This window comes from Homo sapiens, chromosome 4 (assembly GCF_000001405.40).
Source record: "Homo sapiens chromosome 4, GRCh38.p14 Primary Assembly".
NCBI lineage: Eukaryota > Metazoa > Chordata > Mammalia > Primates > Hominidae > Homo > Homo sapiens.
In genome coordinates this window covers 24,802,165-24,814,202 of record NC_000004.12, presented here as the reverse complement: position 1 = coordinate 24,814,202, position 12,038 = coordinate 24,802,165, and the positions used below count along the sequence as shown (strand labels likewise).

Genomic DNA, 12,038 nt, shown 5'->3' with positions numbered 1-12,038 from the left:
TACAATGCTTACTGAGGCCAGTGAATTCTTAGGAGAATAAACATAGTTGTCTGTGACTAAATGCAGGCTTCAGAAATCATAAAGTAGATTTGGTCAAAATTCTGTCCCTGGAATTTGTCTATGGTCATCAAAAAGGCTAAAGGAAATGGAAACTTATTTTGAATGTGAAAAGCAAATTTATATCAGGAGAATTAGAGCTATAGGGTGTGGCAACAGTAGCCAAGACCCACCTTACTCAGCTGAAACCCACAGTCCTCTTCCCTGTTGATACTGATGTTTGTTATCACATCGCTGCTTCTGTCTATGATCATTTTCTCTTCCTTGTGCTCCACCCTTCGTCTTGGTAGTTTCATTTTAGTCTTAAAGTCCCTCTGATTTCACTCTTTCATTTCTTCTAGAGCTTCTCAGAGTTTTTACCAATGTTCAGTCATTTTAAAACTTTTAAACATTTGATTAAGTAAATAAATGCTCAGAAGTTTATTCAATTATGTAATTAAGAAATGCTCAACACCACATACCATGCATATCAATCAATACTTTTATATCGTATCAATACTTTTATGTTGTATTAAAATTAGAATGGATCACAGATGTAGGAACATTGTTACACGTTGCAGAAATTCTAAGCTCCATTTTAATTCAAACTTGTTAGATTATATTTCCTTTTTAGGTTTTATATATATATATATATATATATATATATATATATATATTCCCCAAGCTGAACCTTGGGGATATATGCCTCAGCAATTTATCTAGAAACCTTAGAAATCCAAGCCATGTTTGGTATTGGGCAAGGAGAAGAGTGGGCAGATGCAAGGAACATTTCTGAATGTCTTAGTCAGTTCAGGCTGCTGTAACAGACTACCATAGACTGAGTGTTTTCAACAAGAAGCAGACATTTATTTCTCTTAGTTCCAGAGGCTGGGAAGTCCAAGATCAAGGTGCTAAGAGATTCTGTGACTCAGGAGGGCCTTCTTCCTGTTTTGCAGATGGTGGCCTTCTTGCTGTATTGCCATCCTCAAATGGCAGAGAAAGAGGGGGTTCTGGTCCCTTCCTCTTCATATAAGGGTACAAATCCCATTATGAGGGACCCATTTCATGACTCATCTAACCCTGAGTACCTCCCAAAGGCCTCACCTCCAAATACCATCACACTGGGGATTAGGGCCTCAATATGAATGTGGGGAGGACACAAGCATTCAGTCTACAGCACTGAGGGTGATATGGTTTGGCTGTGTCCTCACCCAACTCTCACCTTAAATGGTAATCATCTCCACATGTCAAGGGTGGGGCCAGGTGGAGATAATTGAATCATGGGGGTGGTTTCCCCCATACTGTTCTCTTGGTAGCGAATAAGTCTCACAAAATCTGATGGTTTCATAAATGAGAGTTCCTCTGCACACTTTCTCTTGCCTGCTGCCATATAAGATGTTCCTTTGCTCTTCTTTCGTCTTCTACCATGATTGTGAGGCCTCCCCAGCCATGTGGAACTGTGAGTCCATTAAACCTGTTTCCTTTATAAATTACCCAGTCTTGGGTATGTCTTTATTGGCAGCATGAAAACAGACTAATACAGAGGGACAAAGACAGGACTTGGCATTGACTGGTCTTCAAGGTCTTAAGCCCATGTGACTACGAAGCATTACCGAAACTGCAAACAGGAGGGACTCTATGGGGGAAAACTGTCTTCTGGAAAGTGCCAGCAGATTTTCCAGGTAGAGGATCCTATTGGCAGCCAGAAACGTGGGTCTGTATCTTCTACAAGAAGCGAGCAGAGCCATCGATATAGATCTGGGAGCTGTACTCAGAGGCAGGAATTAAGGTCATGTGATAGCTAATGAGTGAGAATGAATGAAGAGAAACAGATGGCAGATCACTGGGGGAAGTGCCCTCAGAGGGGCCAGAAGGAAATATCAGAATCAACAAAGGGAACTGGGAAGGCATATGTAGGAGGTTGAATATTGGCCCTCAAAGATTTCAGGTCCAATTCCCTGAAACCTGTAAATGTTACCTTATATGGCAAAATGACTTTGCCGATATGATTGATTTATGGATCTTGAGATTAGGAGATTATCCTGGATTATCCAGGTGGGCCAAAAATGCAATATCATGTATCCTTTCAAGAGGGAGGCAAGAGAGAGATTGTGCACACACAGAAAAAAAGGCAGTGTGACCATGGCAGCAGAGATTGGAAGGATGCAGCCACAAACCAAGGAATCCTGGCAGCCATCAGAAGCTGGGAGAGGCGGAAAATGGATTCTGCCCCAGAGCCTCCAAGGGAGCACAACCCTGGTTTTGGCCCAGTGAAATTTTTTTTTTTTTTTTTTGAGTCGGAGTCTCACTCTGTAGCCCAGGCTGGAGTGCATTGACACAATCTCAGCTCACTGCAACCTCTGCCTCCCGGGTTCAATTGATTCTCCTGCCTCAGCTTCCTGAGTAGCTGGGATTACAGGCACGCGCTACCACACTTGGCTAATTTTTGTATTTTTAGTAGAGACAGGGTTTCGCCATGTTGGCCAGAATGGTCTTGAACTCCTGACCTCAGGTGATCCGCCCGCCTCAGCTTCCCAAAGTGCTGGGATTAGAGGCATGAGCCACTGTGCCTGGCCCCAGTGAAATTTTTTTGGACTTCTGATTCCAGAGCTATAAGGGAATGAATGTGTTTTGTTTTAAGCCACTACGTTTGTGGTTGTTACAGGAGCCATAGGGAACGAATACAGCATGCTCACAGAACTAGATTGAAGGAGAGACTACAGGGAGAAACAGCTTGCGAGGAGCATGTGGCCAATGGGAAAGTATGCTACAGGGTGGGGAGGGGGATGTAGACCTCACAAGCAGGGGGGACGCAGGATAGACTGAAGGATCGAAGATATGAATCAGCTCTGGGAAGTGAAAGCAGTGGATATGGGTTCCTAGCTCTACAGATCAGTGTAGCAAAGGAAAGATGAGGTGATATTGGATGGTAGAATCTTGGAGGTTGCATATCTTGTTTTATAAAATAGGAATACAGCACATGTTAAAAAATATAAATAGCACAGAAAAGTGGAAAATTAAGCTTAAAGTCTTCCTCCACCCTTGCTTCTTGCTGTGGTCCTCAGTCTGCTTTCCAGAGACAACCTACAATTTTTAGTGCATATTATCAGAAAGAATCTCGCAACTTGGCAAGTAAATCTGTATACATAATCCCCTGTTGATGAGCACTTGGAGTTTTCCAGACTTCTGTTTTTAAAAACAGTGTTGTAGTGAGTATCTAAGAACAATGTGTCTTGAAATATCTGGCCTATAAAAGAGTCTTACTAATTTTTATTTTCTTTATTAATGTATGATTGTACCTGTTTCCCTGCATCCTTCTCAACACTGAGCTTTGTCAAACCTTTTCATTTTTGTCATTCTGATAGAGGAAAAACTACATTTCATTGGGACTTAGATTTCTGCAATTTTGAGTGATGGTGTGAATCGTTTAATATGTCTGCTCTCAATTTCTATCTCTTTTTCTGTTTCTGGCTTGCCCATTTTCATTCAACATTTACATACCTGTTGGAAATTGTGGTGCATTCAAATGAACAAATTCTGTACTCATAAACATGGGTAAATCTCACAAACATCATGGGAAGCGAAAGGAACCAGCACAGTAAGATTCCTGGATATAAAGTTCAAGGACCAGGCAGATCTCATTTCAGCATTTTAAATAGGCTAATGGTTATCCCTGGCAGCAGAAAAGGGACTGGAAAGGGGGTCCAGGAGTCCTGGACTTGGAAGTGTTTGCAGGGGTTGGTAATATTTTGTTTCTCATCCTGGTTATATGGGTGAGTTCACTTTGTGAAAATTCATTGAGCTGGATACATAAGTTCTGTGCACTTCTCTTTGTGTATATTATACTTCCATTTATAAAAGAAAGGGAACTATTTTTTAAATATTTTTGAATGCTTAGAATGTGTCAGACACTGGATGAGTCAGATGAGGCTCCTGTTCTCATGGACTTAAATTTAGAATGAGATAAACACGTCAAATGTTTAGTGCAGTGCCTAGTGTGGAAAAGCACCCAATAAGCGTTAGCTGGGAGGATTTATTTAACAGAGGGGAGAAACTGATCAGTGCATGTGGAGACCTAATGGGTGCGTGACATGGCTGGGAGGACACGTGTGATGAAACTGTGTGAAATGAGGCTGCAGAGTGAAACAGGAGCACATCAGCAGGACCTTGTAAGGGCCTAAGCGAAAGGAAATTTATCCTGAAAGTGACAAGGCTCCAGCAGAAGGTTTTAAGCAGGAAAATGGCATGGCCAGATGATGCTCAACATCCTTTCTAACCTGCTGCAGTTCTCCAGCTCCCCAAGTTCCAACTTACAGCCTGAAAACATACCTGCGCATATATGATAGCAAGCCCCACTACAGCAGGGTTCTGCTGTGGTTCCATTCAGGGGTACCAGAAAGTGTTCCTGGGGGCCCCTCATTCCTGGTCCAGGACATGTGTCCAGGCTAAACCCAGTCCCACTGTGGCTCTGTCATACCTTTCTTCACTGTTTAGCCTGAGGGCTGGGAAGAGATTGGCTTCTGGGGAAACTCAGTGTCTGTTATTGAATGCACATGCCCGGGTACTAAGAGCTGGCTCCGCCATGCTGCTCCCCACTCATGCAGAGCAAGCATTGCTGGTTAGGTCCAGAAGGGGCATCAGAGAGTCCTATCCTGATCACAAAGCAAGTGAGTAGGGAAATGAGGGCTGGATGTCAGCACTTTAAGGGCTCCCCCTTCTCTCCCATGTCCTTCCTGTTGCAGTGCTAGAATTTCCATCCTATAGAGAAGGGGTTTAGGGACAACAACTCAACAGGGGAGGGAGCTTGAAGGTGTATTTGCATATAATTTATTTGATATTGAGGAACACTAGGTGTCCGCATTAAGGAATGAGATGCTGATGGAGAATCGTGGAGAAGGGGTGGCACTAAATCCTTCCCGAACTATCCTTCTTCTTCCCACCCTCAATGCAGCCGGAACCTTTTTTCATTACTAACAAGCCCTGGCTCTCAGCTGCAGAACCAACAAAACCTTTGTCCTCAATTTAAATATTTAATGGGCACAAGGAGCGGCCATTAGAGAATGGAACAGAAGCTAACCAGGTGCCTGGAAAGGATGGATTATGACATGGCCCAAGTGCTCCCTTGCCCTCTGTTAATAATGCAGGAATCACTAGAATGCATGCTCGCTGGTTTCACCTGGGTCCTGTGTTCCCCTTTGGCTCCATTGCCCTGCACAGGGAGCCAAAAAAGTCTTGCTCCTTTTTCAGAGGCCCTGTGCTGGTAGGCTGGGCAGGAGGTTGGCAGAAGAGGGGCGGTGAGGGCTGATTTGCTGCCAGAGGTTTAATGTTGTCCTCGTTCTGTTTTCAGGGGAGGCTCAGAAGCAAGAAGAAGATGAAAGTTGTGCCGCTGCTGAGGCGTTGACAGCGCCTGAGGATGCTGGGAGGCCCGCTGTCAACTCCCCAGCAAATCAGAGCCGCGGGAACCAATGCAAGCTCTTTCATCCTTCATTACCCCAGTTACCTTCTGAGGAAGAAGTAAACAGCCTTGGGAGGGAAATAATTAAACTGACAAAGGAACAGGCAGCTGCAGAACTGGAAGAGGTCAGAAGAGAGAGTCCCATAGAAGGTCAGAGGAGTGAGACGGGGCCAGCCCCGCCAGGCCTGGCCATCCAGGGGGAGCTCCCTAAATCTCACCTGGACTCCTTCGAGGCCAGCCGGCCAGCAGCCAAAGCTTCCACACCGGAAGACGGCAAAGGGATCCCAGAGGGCGGAGGCATGAGGAGCACCGTGAAAACCTGAAGGGGAGAGGGATCTGACACAATGACACATTGAAAGCCCCAGAGAGGGTCAAGAATGAAGCATCGGAATGGTGCGCTCACGTCGCCTTCTCCTGAAATACCTCCGAGTCTGCAAGTGAGAAAACGCACTGATCCTGTTGCAAACTGTGAATATTCTGATGATGCCAGTACAGTTTGATTTATTAAATGTAGGTCCTCAAGCTTCTCAGTGTCATCTCTTTTCTGCCAGAGAGTGCTACTGTGAACAGGGCCAGGCCCAGGAATCGTGTCCACCATATGGCTGGTTTTCAGCATCCGTCTTTCTGTCAGCTTTTGTTTTATCAGAGATAAGATGTTTTTGTATTAGCATTTAATGTTGTCAATCAAAATTATGGGAAGAGCTAGAAACTGATGGGGTTTTTAATCAGGTCCCCATCTTGGTCAAGGTTAGGCAGCTGGAGAGGAAGGTATAATTGAGCAAAACGTGTCCAGAGGACCCATGGCTGCACCCCATCAAGTCAGGGCCCAGGAGGACTGCCTGGCATGGGTGTGCTTGGCATTGTGCCCACAGCACTGCTGTCGTGGTACAGACTGGCAGTTGGAAGGGGCCTTAAGCCGGCTGAGAAGTTTGGGCTTCTGGGTTGAAATCCACAGCCCCGGTTGAGGCCTGTGTGCTGAGTGCCAGAGCTGGAGTTTTCTAGCTTGTAAATCTGGAGAATTAACTGATCTGAAGTGACTGGGAGGGGTGAGCATAAAAGCCGGGGAACAGGACTCCCAGTGGTGGTCTGGTTTTTTTTGTGAGATGAGATGAGAGCTACCACCTGGAAATGCTCATTCTCTGCATTCAGCCTGTCTCACATACAGGATTGTATGGCCATTTCAGGTTTGGGAAAGATCTACCTGCTGGGAGCCAGTCTAGTTTCCTGCACCACCTGGAACTTCCAAACCCTTCACTCCTTCAACAGAATGTTGAGGCTGCCTCATTTGTGCCACCAAGTACGGGAATCTTAAAGACAGAAACAGAGCTCATGACCTTTTATGGGAAAGAGAGAGGAAAACAAAACAACTTCACAACAGCATGGCAAGGGGGGATGTGGAACCAAGGACATGATACAGGGATGGGAAAGGAGGGCATGCTCAATTCTAGCTGGTTCTTTCCTTTCAGATAAAAATGAGCTTTTCTAGTTGGCATCCGGCACTGCAGAAAACTAAAAGTCATCCAGCCATAGCTTTTTCCTTCCCTGGAAAGCCTGAGACTAGATCCCAAAGCTCAGAATGCCTCTGAGAACCAGAATCACTCCTTTGAGAGGCGCTCCTTGCAGGAAAAAGAGAGGCTCCCAGAGTGGTAGCCTCTCAGTGAAAATGCATCCTAAAAATTCAATGTTTATACCAGGCTCATGACACTAAGATGTGACATCTGGACACGAGGGGTCAGCCACGTGGATACATCCCTCCCAGATTGCATCTCCAGGAATCACTCTGCTAGCAGAATGGGCGCCCCATCCCTTACTATGCTGCTCCTCCTCAAAGTGCAGCCCAGAAGGACCCAGGCCTTTGATGCACATTGGGTGGGTCTCCCACTACTTTAGTTGAAATGGGAGCATGCTGGAGTCGGCGTTCTGTTGCTTCTGGTGAGAAGGACATCCCATTGACCCCTGGCCACCAGGTCCAGTATTCCATCCTTCCTTCTGTCCCAGCCTATCGCCCTCCCCACCAGGCCCACCCCCACAACTTCTCCTCAAGGGAGGTTGCTCCCGCAGCTGGAGGGCTTGCACAGACCAGCAGTCACAGAAATCATTCTTCCTGCTGTACTGGGCCTTAACTGCCTGCAAATGTCCAGCACTACTGCATAGGATGCCAGAGCCACCGAAGGAAAACACAGCCAAGTTTAATAATAATAAAAGGAAAAATCTCAGCCTGCAGAACTCTGGTTTTGACCCACCATCGGCCAGATGCACATCTTCAGGGCCTGTTGAGCACCTTCTGAAAAGCAGGGCTCGTAATAGACTCCAGCACATTCCATCAGAGTCAGGAAAACTGCAGTGAGTCCCAGAGAATCTAGGGTGCAGGGCAGGGAGCAGGAGTCATAAGGAGTGATAACCTAAACTGTGTGTAGTCAGCGGGGAGGGTCTTATGTTATCAGGTGAAATGAGAGCCAGTAAGTTAGTTGATCCTGTCACAGATATAACCCTGATAACACCCCATAGATACGCGACACGTGTGTCCTGCCCCTGCTTTCCCCATCCAACATGGTTCTTCTGTTCCACAGACATTAAAGGGGCTTTCTGCAATTACTTACAGCTGTCTTTTGTCTTTTTTAGGATCAAAGTTTAAGGTTGTGGCATTCTGTCCCCTACTTCACTAGATAACCCTGCATCAGTCATGGTCCTCTCAGCTTCAAGCCACACTTAACAGAAACTTAAGCGGTAGGGAAATGAATTATGTTGTATAACAGGAACTTCGAAAGTAAGGCATTCCAGGGCTATACATTCAAGAAAGTTGTCAAGGTTCTAGGTTTCCATCTTCCTGCTCTTCCTGCTGTGTCAGCTGCTTTCTCATGATAACGAGGTGGCTGCAACAGCTCCAGATAACACCTGTTCAAAGGCAGAAGGAAGTTTCTTCCCACATACGTGTGTGTGTGTGTTTCAAGAGCGAGAAACCCAGTTCCTATCACATTTTATTGGTCAGAATGATCACCTGGGGCTTGTGGTCGCATGAGACCTTGTCACATGATGATGTCACATGGCAATGTCTTAACCATTTCTTAGCAAGGGAGATGGTATTACCATGATCTGTTTAGGTTCACCAAGATTCACCCTTAAGAACTGAAGAAGGGCCCTGTCGCTAGACATTCAGACTCTAAAAGGCTGAACACCAAAACAGAATCATATCTTGGGATGTGTAAGAGAGTTGGGAATAGACAACCAATGGTGCTGTCTCTGAACCCCATGTCTTTTTGTTGCTGCATAAAAAGCCAGAAAATCATGTTTCCGATGAGTTTGGAGTTAAGGGGAGGGGCTATGGTTGTTTGCTCAGAAAAAAGCCATCTCATCCCCCCTCCCTGGCATCTTTCTGATCTGTCCTGTTCTGTAGGTGGAATGTTCCCACCTTTGTTTGCCTGTTCAGACGTGTTTGTCCTTCCATTATTTTTCCGGCTGGATTGCCAGCAGAATGCAGAGCAGCCTGGAGAAATGAAACAGAGCTGACAGGTCTCTTAATGAAAGCTTGTTTGCACACTCTGCCTCTCCTGTGATCGCTCTGTGCCTGAGAGCCTCTAGGTGTGGATTTTTACATGAGCGTTTGTCTTTCTTTTGATTAAGGCCTGTAGAAGTGGATTGGTTTTTGTAAACCAGGCATTTCTCATCCCTCACTCTTGCTCTTCCTCCTTCCACACCTTCTCTGCCCACCTTCTTCTCCCCTCCCCGTTCCTTCTCTTGCTCCCACAGCTATTCCCAAAGCCTCTCTAGCTGGGAGGCTCCTGATGGCCTCAGCTCAATGCCGGCTGGACCCTCCCAGCTTTTGGCAATCTTAAGCAAGCTAAATTAGTTTGCCCATCGTTGCTCCTCTTCTGTGACCTCCCTCCCAAACATGCACCACCATCACGATGCAAAGTGCTAGAAAAGGGCTCTGCTATCAATTATTCACATGTTGGAGTAAATTTTTTGATGTGTTATTCCTACCGGGAGCCTTTGCACCCCGGTTCACGATATGGCATGAAAAGTTCTGTCTCCTCTTTAAGGAATGACAAAGACCAGCTGCTTACTCACTGAGGTGATCTTCTCTGTCTCTTTAAAATTACAGCATGCCTTTGCCCCTGTTGGTTTTCACTCCAAAAAAATGGGGTGCCCTCTTGGCTTTGTTGTTTTCCCACAGCCTTGTGGATGACTTGGTACCCTACTTCTTTTTTTTTTTTTTTTTTTTTTTGAGAGTCTCACTCTGTCACCCAGGGTGGAGTGCAGTGGCATGATCTCGGCTCACTGCAACCTCCACTTCCCGAGTTCAAGCGATTCTCCTGCCTCAGCCTCCCGAGTAACTGGGACTACAGGCATGCACCACCATGCCTGGCTAATTTTTGTATTTTTAGTAGAGACGGGGTTTCACTATGTTGACCAGGCTGGTCTCAAACTCCCAACCTCGTGATCTGCCTTCCTCGGCCTCCCAAAGTGCTGGGATTGCAGGCGTGAGCCACTGCGCCCGGCCTGTACCCTCCTTCTTTTTGAAAAAGAGAGTACCTTCTTCCTCTGCTTTCATTCTGAAGCCTCCATTTAAAACACTCCTCCTCCTTAGCAATAGTGAGGGTCCCTTCAGACTAGATAGGATGTCAAAAGGCCAAAGCATTGCCCCCAACACACTCCTTTAATGTAGTCCCTTCTTTCCAGGTGTCTTCCTGAAGAGAGAAAAATTTGTAGATCAGAGAGATGCAATTGGGAGCTCCGTAGTGAATCTAGTTAGAAATGAGTAGCAGAAAAAATAGGAAAGACCCGTCTCTCAATATTATGGTTGCTTCCCAAAACAAAACCAGTTGATACAGCATGAAGGCAATTTAAAATGATAGATATGGACATGCTGCCTTACATTTCATATCACCTCTTTACTAAATGAGAATTTTTTGGATGCATAGGGAAAGTTTGCATAATATTGAAAAGTTTGACTTTCTGGAATCTATGTGAGCTCAGGAATATATTTGGGGATCTTAGCAGAGGCCAGTGGTAGCCTATTAAATCTAAAACAATTGGCTTTGTTTTTAAAACCAGCTGCTATTTTGTAGTTTCATTTAAAGAAAAAGTACCTTCTATTCATTTGCAGAAGTTGCTTTATTGGATTCTATGGTCATTGTATATCATAACTATATCTTTTTTGTTACCTGAAATAAACATGTGGCAATTTTCCTGATAGAGATGATGAATTATCTTTATTGTTTGCTTCATATTCCACCCTCACCACCGGGCAAGCGGAGGCTGAGCATGACTTCTGCCATATTGCAGCAACTTATCAGTTGCAATCTGTCACCTAAAACTATTTGATCATATGGTAGTCATGAAAAATATGGAGAATGTAAAGATTTTATGCATTCAGTCAAAAAAAGGCAGATCTAAAATCAGTTGGTTTATTTCCTGCAGTCTTTCAAGTTGACCAAAGCACTCACTGATTTGCTCTATTTTCTTACGTTTTTAGTATTTCTGTATATATGCACTAAAAAGCCCCACTCAGAAAAAAAAAATCAGTGCAATTCTGAGAAAAAGCTTATCCTAAACATCTAAAGATAGCATTTCTAATTATTGTCTACATTGTGTTTAAACTGTGCAAACTTGAGCATTATTCTCACTTTACCAGCTGTGTCTAGGTAGAGTCATTACATCAAACGCTTCTAATTTTACAAAAAGAAATCAAAACAAGCGTGTGTTTCAGTCCCCGTGACAAATGCAAACCCTGTGAGTCAAATAGGCAAACTGATTAGCAAGCTGGCTGGGAAGTCAAAACAGCAAATATAAGGAGATTAACAAAATAGATCTGTAAGATGAGAGGAGTAAAAATAGACTCCAGGGGCCAAGTGGGGTCCGGTGGGTGGCTTTGGTGGCACACATATGGTTCTGTGCCAGGAACCAGATGTCTGCCTTTATGGCCCACAATCTTCCCTTCATTCTAGGTTCCCTCCCCACAAGAGATGGGATCGCAGAGTTCATGTCATTCAGTCTCTCAATGGATGCAGAAATCCTTCTCGGGAACCTCAGAGGTAGCAACTGTCCTTCATTTGAATCCTGGTTGCATGATGCTCACTGCCTTACAAGGCAGCTCCATCTATTTATTAGTAGGTAGCTGTTTTTTGGATCTTAGCCATTGTTATTAATTAGATACTTACCAGGTCCTTATTTGTTGTGCATGCTATGCTGTGCACCTCTCGTGAATAACACTTGATTTAATCTTCAAAACAATCTGGTATGATGATCTTATTTTACCTATGCTCAGAGAGGTTAAGTGACTTGTTCGGGTCACACAGTTTCTGAGTGTGGCAGAGCTGGGGTTCAAATGGGCCTTTCTACCTGAGTCTGACCTGTTAACCATCATGCTATATGCATATCTTTGCCCTTACAATGAACTGTAAATTGTCTGCCTATTATTTCCTCTTTTTTTTTTTTTCTTGTTTGCTTTTTGCTTTTTTGTTTTGGGGTTTTTTGTTTTGTTTCGTTTTGGTTTTTTGGCTCTGGAGGCCCATGGGATAGTTTATCCATCCCATTCCCAAAACAG

General features: G+C 44.8%; 1 protein-coding gene across 8 annotated transcripts in view, besides 1 other annotated feature; it reads left to right on the top strand.

Annotated features, from left to right (window-relative positions):
* The window catches only part of CCDC149 (coiled-coil domain containing 149), a 176,691-nt gene extending 166,002 nt beyond the window's left edge, over positions 1–10,689 (top strand). For 6 of the 8 annotated variants that reach the window (XM_011513908.3, NM_001130726.5, NM_001395273.1 and 3 more), the window contains one exon: positions 5,384–10,689. In XM_011513908.3, the coding sequence (XP_011512210.1) occupies positions 5,384–5,814 (431 nt within the window). In that variant the 3' untranslated portion in view covers positions 5,815–10,689. The remainder of the gene's footprint in view (positions 1–5,383) is intronic. The other 2 variants (NM_173463.6, NM_001330644.2) reach the window with 1 other exon arrangement.
* Positions 4,880–5,460: an enhancer, noted in NCBI's record as "H3K4me1 hESC enhancer chr4:24810365-24810945 (GRCh37/hg19 assembly coordinates)". NCBI's record gives its function as "activates a minimal SCP1, AML or CMV promoter by ChIP-STARR-seq in naive H9 embryonic stem cells {active_cell/tissue: H9 hESC(naive)}" and the evidence as "EXISTENCE:reporter gene assay evidence [ECO:0000049][PMID:30033119]".